Below are 15,150 nucleotides of genomic sequence, written 5' to 3' on the forward strand. Positions count from 1 at the left end.
ATCACTAAAAGACATTGTGATGTTTAATATCTTGCTGGATCGATTCCCAAAGAAAAAGAAAAACCTGTTCTAAAAATCAAGAGCTAACTGCAGTTATTTTACAAGTAATTGCTACTTTAGAATTCTCTTTAAGTATCTGGTCTTCTTTTGAAATGGATTGAAGTGGCTTATTGATTAAATAACAACTTGGGATACAAATTTTTACCAAAAAAAAAAAAAAATAGGAGAGAGTTCATCAAGAAAGTACTATGCTCAGAGGTTTTTAAGAACCATATGTGGACTTTGCTCTAAGGTTTTTTAGCAACTAAAGCAAAAGGGAAAATCTATTGAACCATTTGATTTTCATTTTTCAACAACAGAAAGAAAGTACACTGAAAAAATAGTAAAAATGATCATTTTCCTCCTGGCTTAAATGTCTCTTCTGTAAAATAAAGACATTAGATAAGGCAATATCTTACTTTCCTTCTTTTTCTATGATTGAATCATCTTCAAGTGTAATATTACAAAAGTGAAATGAAAAGACATTTCTCATTTTAACCATTTGTAAAGGCATCAGAGAAGAGTGAAGGTCTTTCTCTGAAAGAATAACATAAGCCAGTTCCAATGCTTTGAATTCTGATGGTCTCTGTATTAATACAGGGTTAAACAATCACAACTAAATGTTTGTTTTAATAAATTTAACCAAGGCTTTTCTTATAATCAACGATTACTTAAAATATAACTAGTAGCTTGACCATATTTTTTAAACAAAGATTGGTTACATGTACTATATATACAAATGTAGCTTAATTCAATTATTATGGAAGGCAAACTTTCAACTTTCCTGTATATTTAGTTTTTTCTGTATTCTTACTAATGTGGACTCTTGTTTTTTACAGTAATAAAAGAAAATGTGACAGTGTGGGATAAATCATTTCCTTCTTGTGCTCTCTTGATCCCTTTCTCTCAAGAATTTCTGCCTTCAGCAACTTTTCAACAAACACTTATTTAATGTCTACTGTGTATTAGGCCCTGAACCTAAGTGAAGAGATGACACCCAGTTCTATACACCCACGACTCCAACCCTGACCCCTTTTTGGTTTGAGAACAAATCTCACAGCAACTTGCGGGGTATCTTCACTTAGTTTGGATGCTTTTGTCTCAAATTATACACACCCACAATCCAGTTCCTTCTTATTCTTCTTCTGAAGCACGCTCTCAAATTTTTGTTTTCTGTAACAGTCAGTCCATTAATTGATTTAAAACACATTGCTTTAGTTCTTTCTACATGATTGGCACTTGGCAAGATACTGGAGATAGGGTGGAGAACAGGAGTGACAAGTCTCCTGTAACCTATAGACAAGGAGCAATCAAGTATATGTAAAAAAAAAAAATAAAGTATTTACATTGTGGTATATAACCAGGGAAGGTCATTTTGGTGTTATCAGGGAATGACATCTGAAAAATAATGATGTAGTTCCATTCTGTGAGTACTTCAAAGTAGTAACTGTGGGGTCATCTTTAATTCTCCATTAATTTATCATTCACCAATTAATTCATTAATATTCATTTGATATGCATTTATTGAATTCTCGCTATATACTAGGATCTGTGAAAATGCTTGAGAGGTGAAATGGATAAAACACATCCTCTGCTCTTCATGGATGTGACAATCTAGTGAGGAGGCTCATCGATAAGCAAATAAAGTCAATGAAGTGCTATAGTTATTTTGGTAGATTCCTATATGGGATTCAGTTTAGGTGAATAGGAGGGAGGTCCTTACTAGGGCATAAGCTTAAGGACATAAAATATATTTTATTCCTTTAAACATCCCCAGCCACAAGACCTGGAAATAGGCAGTGAAAGGAATATGATGAATGGCTATATAAATGGCACCACATTGTTATTTATCCTGGAGTTGAGACTACATCAGAGAGTCCTATTGGTTTGATTTATTTATATGTAATTCTGTTTTTCCAGATATGGTATATTTCTTTCAATATCAAGCTATAAGTATTTCATTATTCATAATTGCATACCTGGCATTTTTAAAGTTTTTTTCTTCTCTGGAGATTCCTTTCCTTTTCATGTAGGCTTTTTCATAACAAGGGTTTATAGTTATACCTCTGAAGTAATGCCTAAAATTACTTCCCCCACAATATATACTGGTAAAGTCCAACCCAGAATTATGGTTTTCTGATGGGTGTCCCAGTGATTTTCTTCAGATCTTCCAGAAGGACATACCAGCTATAGAAAATGTTTTAGACTTTTTTGTTTGTTTGTTTTTGTTTTGTTTGGAAGCTATAGTAAAGGATCTTTTTTTTTAATGCTTTAAGTTTTAGGGTACATGTGCACAACGTGCAGGTTAGTTACATATGTATACATGTGCCATGTTGGTGTGCTGCACCCATTAACTCGTCATTTAACATTAGGTATATCTCCTAATACTATCCCTCCCCGCCCACCACCCCACAACAGGCTCCAGTGTGTGATGTTCCCCTTCCTGTGTCCATGTGTTCTCATTGTTCAATTCCCACCTATGAGTGAGTTTTAATCCCAAAACATATGAAGCCTTCAGTGGTACAAAAGCTAAATTATTGTGTCACATCTCAAAACAGCAGCAAACAGACAAAGACCACAAAAATAAAACCAAAAGAACAAAAATCCAATGAAATCATAACAAGCCATTAGTTTCATTGCTCTATCGTAGGTTCTGGCATATCTATTATCTACTGACACATTACAACGACCTAGGCAAGTCAACTTCTGTTTCCCAGATGAACAGACTGAACTGCAGAGTTCAGTAATTTCCTCAAATCACAGAACTTAACAAAAATGGCAATGAGAAACCTCGCCCTTGACACAGACTAACAACGATTCTTCTCTGTCTCCTCCATAGCTGACATACTGCAGAAAGTTAAATACCAGAGTCACATCTCCACTTTCAGCTGCATGAACTCTATTACCATTTATTCCTCACTATTAGTAAATTCATATTTTTTTTAATGTTGCTTTTGTTACTAAGTATAACTAGAAATAGTTTCATCTTTCCCTGGCCTTGGTGTACTGGAAGAAAAGCAGGTTGTCTTTCATTTGTAAGAGTTTTCACAGGTGGAAAGATGAACTTGTCCTTCAAATGTCTCTTTGTCCAGGTAAGTTATCCTTTCTCATGGTTTGGGCTCATTTTTATTTTGCTGTCTCTTTAGTTTTGTGGGAATTTAATTATTTCTTGTCAAAACAAAGGATCTCAGCCTTAATCTTGTGTTGGCAATATAATCAAACAGAAATCATGCCTCTTGTGAATTTTCTCATAATATGTTTATATTTGGAGGAAATTAGTTATAAAGTTCACTGGAAAATTATTACTAAAATCATTAATATTTTTGTTTATGACTTGATTCTTCTAATGACCTGAAAAGTCAGTAGATTTGGATTATGTAAAAATATGAACATTGAAGTTAGTGCTTTATTTAATTTATGTTATTTTATAAAATCATCTATGCAAATATTTTCAGAATACACTTTTCTCTCTAATATATTTTATCTTCTAAAACAGCAATCACTATAAAAGTTGATATACCTTCTTTATCTACTTTTAAAAAATATAAGCATCTGGTTTATTATATTTACTATAGACCATATAAATTTGACAATCAGGTAAGAGGAAACAAAAGCCTTTCTAGAGATCTTAATACTTTCATAGAAAGAAGGTTTTTAGTAGAACTTGTGAATAAGTAATTTTTTGATCATCTGCAATTTTATAGGTAGTTGATAACACTGACTGGAAATTTTGATTTTTTTTTTTTCACATAGCAAATTAAGTAAACCTCTATAAAAGATGACAGTTATTCAGCCTGTCACTAAGTTGCCTGTTAAACATGACTCTTGGGGGGAAAACACTCTTTTGCAGAACTGAATCTGAAAAACAATGTAGAATTCACCCTTTGTTTTGTTCTTAAACTTTGAGATAACAAAGTTGGAAGGCAAGTCAGAATCATAACGATATTCCTACAACTGCTATAAGAGATTGTTTCTAAAAGAAGGAAGAAGATACCAAATTGGAAATAATGATAGAGGAAAAGTCATAGTTAGAGAATCCTGAGAATGGAAAGCAGAAACCTAATTGTAAGGCCTACAGCCTCGAGCATGCACAGAAAGTAACTTAGGTCTGAGGTCCTCTGGAATAAATCTTTGGTGATAACAACACAGTCCACAACAGGGATACATTTGTATTTATAGTTTATTCTCCATTATTGCCAGAGGCCTCAAATCCCACATAGTCAAAATCTCCATTCACTGCTGCCTGCTGGGCATTTAACAAGGGCTCTTGTAACAGGACCCAGAACAAGTATGAACATGAATAAAAAGTGCAGGGGCCAGCCAGGCACCACAGGCTGCAAGGTAGCCAAGTGGAGGCATTGGAGAGAAACAGAGAAAGCAGACAATGACCCTTAGTGCCTCAAGGCATGGCTTCAAAAGGTGTCAACACCAATTAAATTGTAAAAGCTCTGTCAGCTTCTGAAAAGTCATCCAGACAGGGACAAGACAGTACATAATCAAAGGACTGGGACGTGATTCTGTATGGCCCACAGTAGACCCAGTGTACGCATGTACGCCTGGCAATTTGTGATCCATATGTGAGCCTTCAAGATAAGTCTGTCCTTAAAGGTGTAAATACCCTTCTTCTGGGAGCTCTCTTGGTTTACCACTGGGGGATGTTGGAAACCTGTACTAGTAGGTAGCTACTGGTAGGTCCCATAGGTAATTTGCCTAAAAATATAACTATAACTAGAATGTGTACTATTGATTATGCCCACAGACTCATGGATAAGCTAAAGAGTAATTGACAAAGTTCTTGGCTTCAGCTAAACAGTGGCAGCTAAGCTTTCTGTAGTAAACAATATTATGGAGAATTTTCTTTGTTGGCAAGATACTGCAGAATCTACCCTTTCTGATAGTAGGACATTCTGACAACAATGACTTTGCAGGAGGTTTGTTTCAAATACTTACACCAGTAAGAAGGTATTTTGCATTTCCTATTTGGCCTTGGAGAGGGTTAATGTGGCTTTAAAGAATTAATTGGTTCCAGGCAAAGGTACTCTGATCTAAATTCAAGAAATTATGTCTTTCTCTCTCTCACTCTCTCTCTCTCGCTTGCCTAGAAGTAACTATGATAGGTATGACCAATTTATTGGATGGTTTTCAAAGTGACAGCAGAGTTGGGGAGGAGAAGAAATATATTTTATAGCTGGGGGCAAATACAGAACTGTCGAAGCATTTATCACATATTTCATAGCTAAGTAATTTTCTTGGTCTACAGAACTTTTTCACTCCCCAGATCAAGTAAAATGCCTGGGTTTTAAGATAGATGCGTTTATGCTAAAAGGAAATGCCGATATGCTAATGACACTGAAGTTCCAAGCATATTTTTTTTAAATCACTTGAAAGTATTATTCTTCCCTATTTGTTTATTTATTTATTTTTGAGACAGAGTCTCCCTGTGTGGACCAGTCTGGAGTGCAGTGGCACGGTCATCACTCACTGCAACCTCAAATTCCTGGACTCAAGTGATCCTCCTGCCTCAGTCTCCCAAGTAGCTACAATTTTTTCTTTTTAATGAGGGAGAACACTACTTATCAGAATGATTTAGAATGCAATTGTTCATTTTTAATCAAACAATTTGCTCTTAGTATGGTTGAAATTACTCTTATTTTTAAAGAAATATTAACCAGATATAAAATAATGTACCATATTGCAAACTATCAGGTTAAAACTACAATGTGTTACATTACCTATTAGATAATTTATTTAAAAGTATAACAGTTCTTTAGAAAATGAGTTCAATAACAACAAGAAGCTAGAAAACTGGGAAACACATTTATTCAGATTTTGGTATTCATCTTGATTTAATTGAGATTGGCTAAATTATGCCACAATAACAAAGAAAGAAATTTCAGTGGCTTAAGACAGAAAAGAAGTCTCACTTATTTCACTCTTCCATGGGTCTAGGAGACTCTACAGAGCAGTGTTCTGCCATTTGATTGCTTAGCATGGCATCTCTACCAATATGTGCCTCTAAAATTGTCAGGGCAGGCAAAAGACATTAGAAAATCAAGTGCCTACAATTAAATGCTTCTATTCAGGACTGACACACATCATTTCTGCTCAAATTTAATTAGCCAAGGCAAGTCGAGAGGTCACATCTTACTTCTGGAAGTGAATAAGATTATCTTGTATACCTGAAAGGAGAAGGAATTGGTATTGATAAACAGTTGTAAAGTCAGCCATAGACTACTCTTCTGATAACCAAATATTCTTTCCTCTTTTGTTTCCCAATCCTACATTCAATCCCTCCATAAGAGCAACCCTCTAAAAGTCTTATGCAAGCTCTTCATACAGCATGAAGTCCAAGATGTCTGTGTAGTACCTGGAAGTCAGGTAAGAATGGGACACCTTTGATATGGAGACAAAAGTTATTTTCTCCCTTCATAATCAGTAGAATATAAAGGAATAAGGACAATTCAGAAACTCACAGTTACTCAAGTGTGGTAATTTAGTCAAGCTGCTGGGGGCGACAATCATTGTGAGGAATGTCTTTACTGGGAGTGGGAAATGTTCCTTGTTTAAGCCTCATTTCTGTTTCCTGGGAGGAGAGAATCCCAGTCTGTTGTTCTTGGTGACTCCTGGTTCTACACTGTAGAAGGATCAATTCATCTTTTATGCTACTTCGTCACATCTGTAATAGGCACTGGGGAAAAGTCTCTCTTGAGGAATAAGCAGTTTTCTTAGTTCATTGCCTGCCTGAGGAGTGTTAAGTACCAAGGTGATTTTATGTCTCACATAGCCACAATCTCTTTGAGTCCAGTCAAGGGCTTTTCTTTAGCAGTGAATTTCTTTCAAAGGTTTTATAGGCTTCTCAGCTATTTGATTCTGCACAGCTCCATGTACCAATTCCATGCCCACAAGTTTTCTCAATGTTTAATTCCTAGAATATTTGCTCTCATGCTCTCTCTTCCTCTCTTTTTGTGTTTGCAGTTGCTTGTCCAGTAAATCTATTGAAGTTCAGTGTCAGAGTCATACACCTAGTCTCTTTTCCTTAACTATTTTTGTCCAGTTGAAAGGCTGGATGGGGCCTCTACTTTAAATTATATCTTTATTCTGAGACATGTTAATCCATTCCCAAGTTTTAACTTGGTGTGGTACCAATACCCTTGGTTAGATCCTTGCCTTGAGGCTTAGACTTCTTCTTTTTGTTTCGCAAAAGTCATTCTCAGTTTTATCGTTTGTTCTTTTGTAGCTGAGTTTTTTCTTTTTCTAATCCCACTAGTCCTCAAATTTTTGTACACCTCTACTTCTTTTTATTCCTGATGGCAAACTCATCTATTATTTTCTGAGACTGTCTCTTTTTCTATTTTATTATACCTTGCCAATTGCAGACAACATCAATGCCCAGACACTCTGATTTTGTTTTTTAGTTTTTCTCTTAGTGCAATAGTTTATTTTGCATAAGATCTGTCTTATAAATTTTCATAGGTAATAATATTACCAAATGCTTTGCCATTGCATATGACTAATTGCCACTTTATAGCCTCCACGGGGGGTGGCCATTCACAATCCCCATGCCCTATAGGGTCAACCGCTAAGTGTATGCCACATGTTTTAGAGATTTTTTTTTTTTTCATAGCAGCATCCAATCCTAGCATAAATAACTGTTTTAGTCAGCATGGATTAGGTTAGGCTGTAAAAGCCAAGAACTCATATTTCAATAGCTTATCGTATGAAGATTTCTGTTTCATACAAAGTCTACTATGAGCCTCGAGAACTCTCCAGGCAGCTGAGCTGTCTTCTATGTGATGGCTCAGTATTGTCCTTCCTTAGCGATGCAATTTTCCAATACTCATGGCAGAGAAAAAGTGGGGTACAGAGTTAAGTGCCAACAATTGAAATTTTTTTCCTGGGAGTGATACCTATCAGTTTTGCCATGCTTAACTTCCAGGAGGAAGGGATGTATATTCTTCTTATTTGTCCAGAAGGAAAGGAGACTTGGTTATCAGTGAACAGAGCTCACATCTACCAAATATCCTGACTGTGACCTATTGAATGGGAACATCAATTTAGGTAATAGTTCCCGAGCCCTACTACTGTAAACACTTTACTTCTATTTTAAAAAATCACCATTACAATTCTAACTGGCAAACTTTGAATACCTGCTAACTTTTGAAAGTATTTAAAAGGTTTTAGTATAACACATATGGATGGTTTATATCTTCTACTTATTCAGATTCCAACTGACTTTCAAAATTGGAGCTATAAAATGTTACTTATCTAACATTTTCCAACTATAGATGTCAGGTGTTATGTAGGGACACTACACTTTCTGTCTTGATTTGGTATATTTTAGGAAAGAGCATCTATAGTGGGTTAATAGTGGTGTCCCCAAAAGATAAGTCTGTGTCCTGGAAACTGAATGCGACTTTATTTGGAAAAGGGGTCTTTGCAGATATAATTACATTAAGGATCTGGAGATGAGGATATCATCCTGGATTAGGGTAGATCCTAAATCCAATGACGTGTCCTTGTAAGAAAAGAGAAAGGGATATGACACACAGAAAGGAAGGCCATGTGAAGTAGGGAGTAGATTGGAGTATGCAGACACAAAGATGAAGTCAGCCACCAGAAGCTGAAATAAGCAAAGAAGGATTTTCCCCTAGAGCCTTCACAGGGAGCATGGCCTACTGACACCTTGATTTCGAACTTCTGGCATCCAGAACGGTGAAAGAATACGTTTATGTGATTTTAAGTCACCAGGTTTGTGGTAATTTGTTACTGCAGACCCAGGAAAGTAATATAGTATTCATCTGAGCTTTAGGTTTTTTTTAAGAATAAAAGATACAATGAATACATACTAGTATTTAATATCATATTTACTGAATTAAAAAAACAGTGAAGACTTAGACATTATCATGAGAAAGTCTTATGATTTTATATAGAGTCCCAGGTTTGAAATCAGATGATCTGAGTTCCAGTTTTAACTTTTTGAAATGGGTAAATGTTTTAACCATTAAAAAGTCAGTTTTCTCATCTATAAAAGGGAAATTATACCAAATCCATGCCAAACTGGGACATTGCTTTATGAATCAAATGAGATTATTGATATAGAGTGCCTTGAGATCAGTAACTCATCAGATTAAGGAAATTTTAGTTATAGCAAAGGTAGATATCACCATAAATAAAAATTAACCCTAGACCATACATTATAATATTAAAACATTTTCATTTAAAATGGACCTCATTTAGTGGGCTTCTTAGATTTGCAGCAAAAGGACAAAACAGCCTAAGCACTGGGAAGACAAAAATCTTGCCTTCTTTTGAGAAAAGCCTACTGACTTCAAACCTTTCATTTCTGTTATTATTTTTTATTATATCTGAAGAGTGTAAAATAACTAGTAACAAAAGAAACTCCTCAGTTTTTTGGTCAGGTACTCAAGAAAAATGCAGTGCAGTGAGATTAAAAAAAGCTCTAAAAGTTGGTTAAAATTTTCCAAAGTTTCATATCATACAAATCCTGTCTAGAAGATTTATTATAACAAAATAATTATATTTCAAGAATAATACTACCTTATTCGTCCTAAGGCCTCCCTTCCGTAACTAATTTCAAATATGCTAAAGAAAATTAACCCCTACGATTTTATTTTACATCACAGATGTTGTTTTCATTTTACAGATGAACCAGGGAGGACACCACAAATCATGGACCCAACTGAGAATAAAACTTTGTCACTCAGCTTTGAGGTAACAGAGTAACAGTGGTAAGTGTGCGCATGTGGAGGGTGGGAGCTGTGAGATCTGAGTCGATTTATTTTTTTAAATTTACTTTGGGTTCAGACTACTGTCTAAAATCCCCACTTGTCCTCCTTCCTCCCCAAACCCTCTGGAACTCTAACCCCTTGGTTGGTAACCCCCTTCTAAACCATCAGTCTCTTCTCTGAATAGTCCCTTCACTAAATTACTGTAAAATTTGGCAGTGTCCCCCCATCATCCTTTTCCCTGGAAAATCTGTTAAAGAGAGACTACATTTCCTTTCATATCTCATTATTTCAAGGTCAGGAGATGGGATAAATATGGACTTTCATTTCCAACTGCTGTTGCATGACTATCTTTTCTTACTTTTCCAAACCCTAGCTTTTTCATAGCTGATGGTATTCTTCTTTACCATTTATTATTACGGCTTTCATCTACAAACAATCATGAAGACTTTGTTTCTCATTCAATATCTTATTTTTTAGTTCTGCTGCTTGCATTTTCAGGAATTTCAACCTCTACATAAGTGATCAAGTTAACTGATTCTTCTATTCTTTTACATCACCTTCAAAATTCTTTTTCTCACTCTCACTTTGGTTTCTAGCTTCCATGACCAAACTATGGGCCTTGTCATTAGTAGTCACTGCTCCCCCTCCAAAACTTTTGATTTCAAGCATCACATTGTTTTTTTTTTTAATTTAATTTTTTTTATTTCAATAGTTTTGGGGAAAAAGTTGTTTTTGGTTACATAGATAAATTCTTCAGTGGTAATTTCTAAGATTTTGGCACCCTCATCACCCGAGCAGAGTACACTGTGTCCAATATGTAGATTTTTATCTGTCACCCCCTCCCACTCTTCCCCTCCGAAGCCCCAGAGTCCTTTGTATCATTCTTATGCTTTTGCTTCCTCATAGCTTAGCTTCTCCTTATAGGTGAGAACATACGATATTTGGTTTTCCATTCCTGACTTACTTCACTTAGAATAATGGTCTCCAACTCCATCCAAGTTGCTGTGAAAGCCATTATTTTGTTCATCTTTATGGCTCAGTAGTATTCCTGGTGTATATATACCACATTTTCTTTCTTTCTTTTTCTTTTTCTTTTTTTTTTTCCGGACAGAGTCTTGCTCTGTCGCCCAGGATGGAGTGCAGTGGCGCAATCTCAGCTCACTGCAAGCTCCGCCTCCCGGGTTCACGCTATTCTTCTGCCTCAGCCTCCCGAGTAGCTGGGGCTACAGGCGCCCACCACCACGCCCAGCTAATTTTTTGTATTTTTTTAGTAGAGACGGGGTTTCACTGTGTTAGCCAGGATGGTCTCGATCTCCTGACCTCGTGATCCACCTGGCCTCACAAGGTGCTGGGATTACAGGTGTGAGCCACCGTGCCCGGCCATATACCACATTTTCTTTATCCACTCATGGTTGATGGGCATTTAGGCAGGCTTCATATTTTTGCAATTGAGAATTGTGCTGCTGAAAACATGCACGTGCAAGTGTTTTTTTTCTCACATAATGACTTCTTTTACTCTGGGTATATACCCAATGGTGGGATTGTTAGATCAAATGGTAGTTCTACTTTGAGTCCTTTAACGAATCTCCATACTATTTTCCATAGTGGTTGTATGAGTTTACATCCCCACCAGCAGTTTTGTAAAATGATTCCTTTTTCACCACATCCAAGCCAACATCTATAATTTTTTGATTTTTAAATTATGACTATTCTTGCAGGAGTAAGGTGGTATTTCATTGTGGTATTTGATTTGCATTTCCCTGATTATTAGTGATGTTGAGTTTTTTTCATGTTTGTTGGCCATTTGTATATCTTCTTTTCAGACTTGTCTATTTATCTCCTTAGTCCACTTTTGATTCCATTATTTGTTTTGTTCTTGCTGACTTTTTTGAGTTCCTTGTGAATTCCGGGTATTAGTTCTTTGTCAAATGCACATCTCATGAATATTTTCTCCCATTCTTTGGGTTTTCTGTTTACTCTGCTGATAATTTCTTTCGTTTTGCAGAAGCTTTTTAATTTAATTAGATCTCCTTTATTTATTTATTTATTTTTGTTGTTGTTACATTTACTTTTGGGTTCTTGGTCATGAACTCTTTGCCTAAGCCAATGTCTAGAAGGATTTTTCCAATATTATCTTCTAGAATTTTTAGGCTTTCCAGTGTTAGATTTAAGTCTTTGGTCCATCTTGAGTTAATTTTTATATGTGCTGAGAGATGAGGATCCAGCTTTATTCTTCCACATGTGGCTTGCCAATTATCTGAGTACCATTTGTTGACTGGGGTGTCCTTTCACCACTTTATGTTTTCATTTGCTTTGTCTAAGATCAGTTGACTGTAAGTATTTGGTTTTATTTCTGGGTTCTCTATTCTGTTCCATTGGTCTACATGCCTCTTTTTACACCATTACCATGCTGTTTTGATAACTATAGCCTTGTAGTATAGTTCGAAGTTGGGTAACGTGATGCCTTCAAATTTGTTCTTCTTGCTTAGTCTTACTTTGGCTATGTGGGCTCTTTTTTGGTTCCATATGAATTTTAGAATGATTTTTGCTAGTTCTGTGAAAAATGATGATGCTACTTTGATGGGAATTGCATTGAATTTGTAGATTGCTTTTGGCAGTATGGCCATTTTTACAATATTGATTCCACCCATAGATGAACATGAGATGTGTTTCCATTTGTTTGTGTCATTGATAATTTGTTTTAGCAATGTTTTGTAGTTTTCCTTGTAGAGATCTTTCACCTCCTTGGTTAGGTATATTCCTTAGTATTTTTTTTTTTTTTTTTTTTTTTTTTTGCAGCTATTGTAAAAGGGACTGAGTTCTGGATTTGTTTCCCTGTTTGGTCATTGTTGGTGTATAGCAGTGTTACTGATTTGTGTACATTGATTCTGTATCCTGAAACTTTACTGAATTCATTTATCAGATCTAGGAGCTTTTTGGATGAGTCTTTAGGATTTTCTAGGTATATGGTCATACCATCAGCAAACAGCAACAATTTAACTTCCTGTTTACCGATTTGCATGCCCTTTATTCTTTCTGTTGTCTGATTTTTCTGGCTGGGATTTCCAGTACAATGTTGAATAGAAGTGGTGAAAGTGGGCATTCTTTTATGTCTTTTTCAGTTCTCAAGGGGAATGCTTTCAACTTTTCCTTGTTCAGTACAATGTTGGCTGTGGGTTTGTCATAGATGTCTTTTATTACCTTGAGGTATGTCCCTTCTATGCCAATTTTGCCGAGAGTTTTAATGATAAAGGAATGCTGGATTTTGTTAAAGCACATTCTGTATCTACTGAGATAATCATATGATTTTTGTTTTTAATTCTGTTTATGTGATCTATCACATTTAACGACTTGTGTATGTTAAACCATTCCCACATCCCTGGTATAAAACCCATTTGATCATGGTCGATTTTCTTTTTGATATGCTGTTGGATTTGGTTAGCTAGTATTTTGCTGAGGATTTTTGCATTGGGTCATCAGGGATATTGGTCTATAGTTTTATTGTTATATCCTTTCCTGGTTTTGGTATTAGGGTGATACTGATTTCATAGGATGATTTAGGGAGGACTTGCTCTTTTTCTTTTGAAATAGTTTCAGTAAGATTGGTAACTACTCTTCTTTGAATATCTGATGGAATTCAGCCTGGTCCTGGTCCTGGGTTGTTTTTTTTTTTATTACTGTTTCGATCTTGCTACTTGTTATTAGTATGTTCAGGGTTTATATTTCTTCCTGATTTAATCTATGAAGGTTGTATATTTCCAGGAATTTATCCATCTTCTCTAAATTCTAGTTTCTGCACATAAAGGAATAGTCTTTTGTATTTCTGTGGTATCAGGTGTAATATTTCCCATTTTATTTCTAATTGAGCTTATTTAGATCTTCTGTCTTCTTGGTTAATCTCACTAATGGTCTATCAATTTTATTTATCTTTTCAAAGAACCTACTTTGTTTCATTTATCTTGAATTTGTTTGTTTGTTTCAATTTCATTAGGTTATACTCTGATCTTTGTTATTTCTTTTCTTCTGCTGGGTTTGGGTTTGGTTTGTTCTTTCTCTACTTCCCTGAGGTGTGACTTTAGATTTTTCTTTTTGCACTCTTTCAGATTTTTTGATGTAGGCATTTAATGCAATTAACTTTCCTCTTAGCACTGCTTTTACTATATCCCAGAGGTTTTGGTAAGTTGTGTTACTCTTATTGTTCAGCTCAAAGAATTTTTAAATTTCCTTCTTGATTTCATTGTTGACCCAAAGATCATTCAAGAGCAGATCGTCAAACTTCCATGTATTTGTATACTTTTGAGCATTCCTTTTGTAGTTAATTTCCAGTTTTATTCTACTGTGGTCTAAGAAGATACTTGATATAATTTCATTTTTCTTAAATGTATTGAGACTTGCTTTGTGACTTATCGTATGGTCTGTCTTGGAGAATGTTCCATGTGCTGATGAAAAGAATGTATATTCTGGCCAGGAAGAGTGACTCACACCCATAATCCCAGCACTTTGGGAGGCCAAGGGGGGAGGATAACTTGAGCTCAGGAGTTCGAGACCAGCCTGGCTAACATGATGAAACCCTGTTTCTACTAAATACAAAAAAGAATTAGCAGAGCATGGTGGCGCACACTTGTAATCCTAGCTACTAGGGAGGCTGAGGTGGGAGGATCACTTGAACCTGGGAGGCGGAGGTTGCAGTGAGCCGAGATCACAACACTGCATTCCAGCCTGGGTAACAAAAAAAAAAAAAAAAAAAGAAGAATGCATATTCTGCAGTCGTTGGATAGAATGTTCTATAAATATCTATTAAGTCAATTTATTCTAGGGTATAGTTTAAGTCCATTGTTTCTTTGCTGACTTTCTGTCTTGATGACCTGTCTAGTGTTGTCCGTGGAGTATTGAAGTCCCCCACTATCACTGTGTTGCTGTCTATCTCATTTCTTATGTCTAGTAGTAATTGTTTTATAAATTCGGCAGCTCCAGTGTTAGGTGCATATATATTTAGTATAGCAATATTTTTCTATTGCACTAATCCTTTTATCATTATATAATATTCCTCTTTGTCTTTTCAAGCATCCCATTTTTTGACCACCACCTTCAATTTTAGCTGACTCACAAGACACTTTACAAAGGTAGGCAAAATCTATGAGATTTTTTTTTCGGATGATGTCCCTGGATATCAAGCCATGGCCAAACTCAAAAATGCTCTTTTTTTTAAAATGTATTTTTTATTTGTACAAATTTATAGGTACATGAAAACATTTTATTATATGTATTTAATGCATACTGATCAAGTCAGGGTATTTAGGGGGTTCATCACCTGAGTACAATATATTTTTGTTAAGTATAGTCACCCTACTCTGCTATCAAA

At 35.6% G+C, this 15,150-nt stretch overlaps 1 annotated feature.

The window, feature by feature from the left end:
* Positions 4,073-4,738: an enhancer, noted in NCBI's record as "NANOG hESC enhancer chr1:198392710-198393375 (GRCh37/hg19 assembly coordinates)". NCBI's record gives its function as "activates a minimal SCP1, AML or CMV promoter by ChIP-STARR-seq in naive H9 embryonic stem cells {active_cell/tissue: H9 hESC(naive)}" and the evidence as "EXISTENCE:reporter gene assay evidence [ECO:0000049][PMID:30033119]".

The sequence above is a fragment of the Homo sapiens genome, chromosome 1 (genome assembly GCF_000001405.40).
Source record: "Homo sapiens chromosome 1, GRCh38.p14 Primary Assembly".
Classification (NCBI taxonomy): Eukaryota; Metazoa; Chordata; class Mammalia; order Primates; family Hominidae; genus Homo; species Homo sapiens.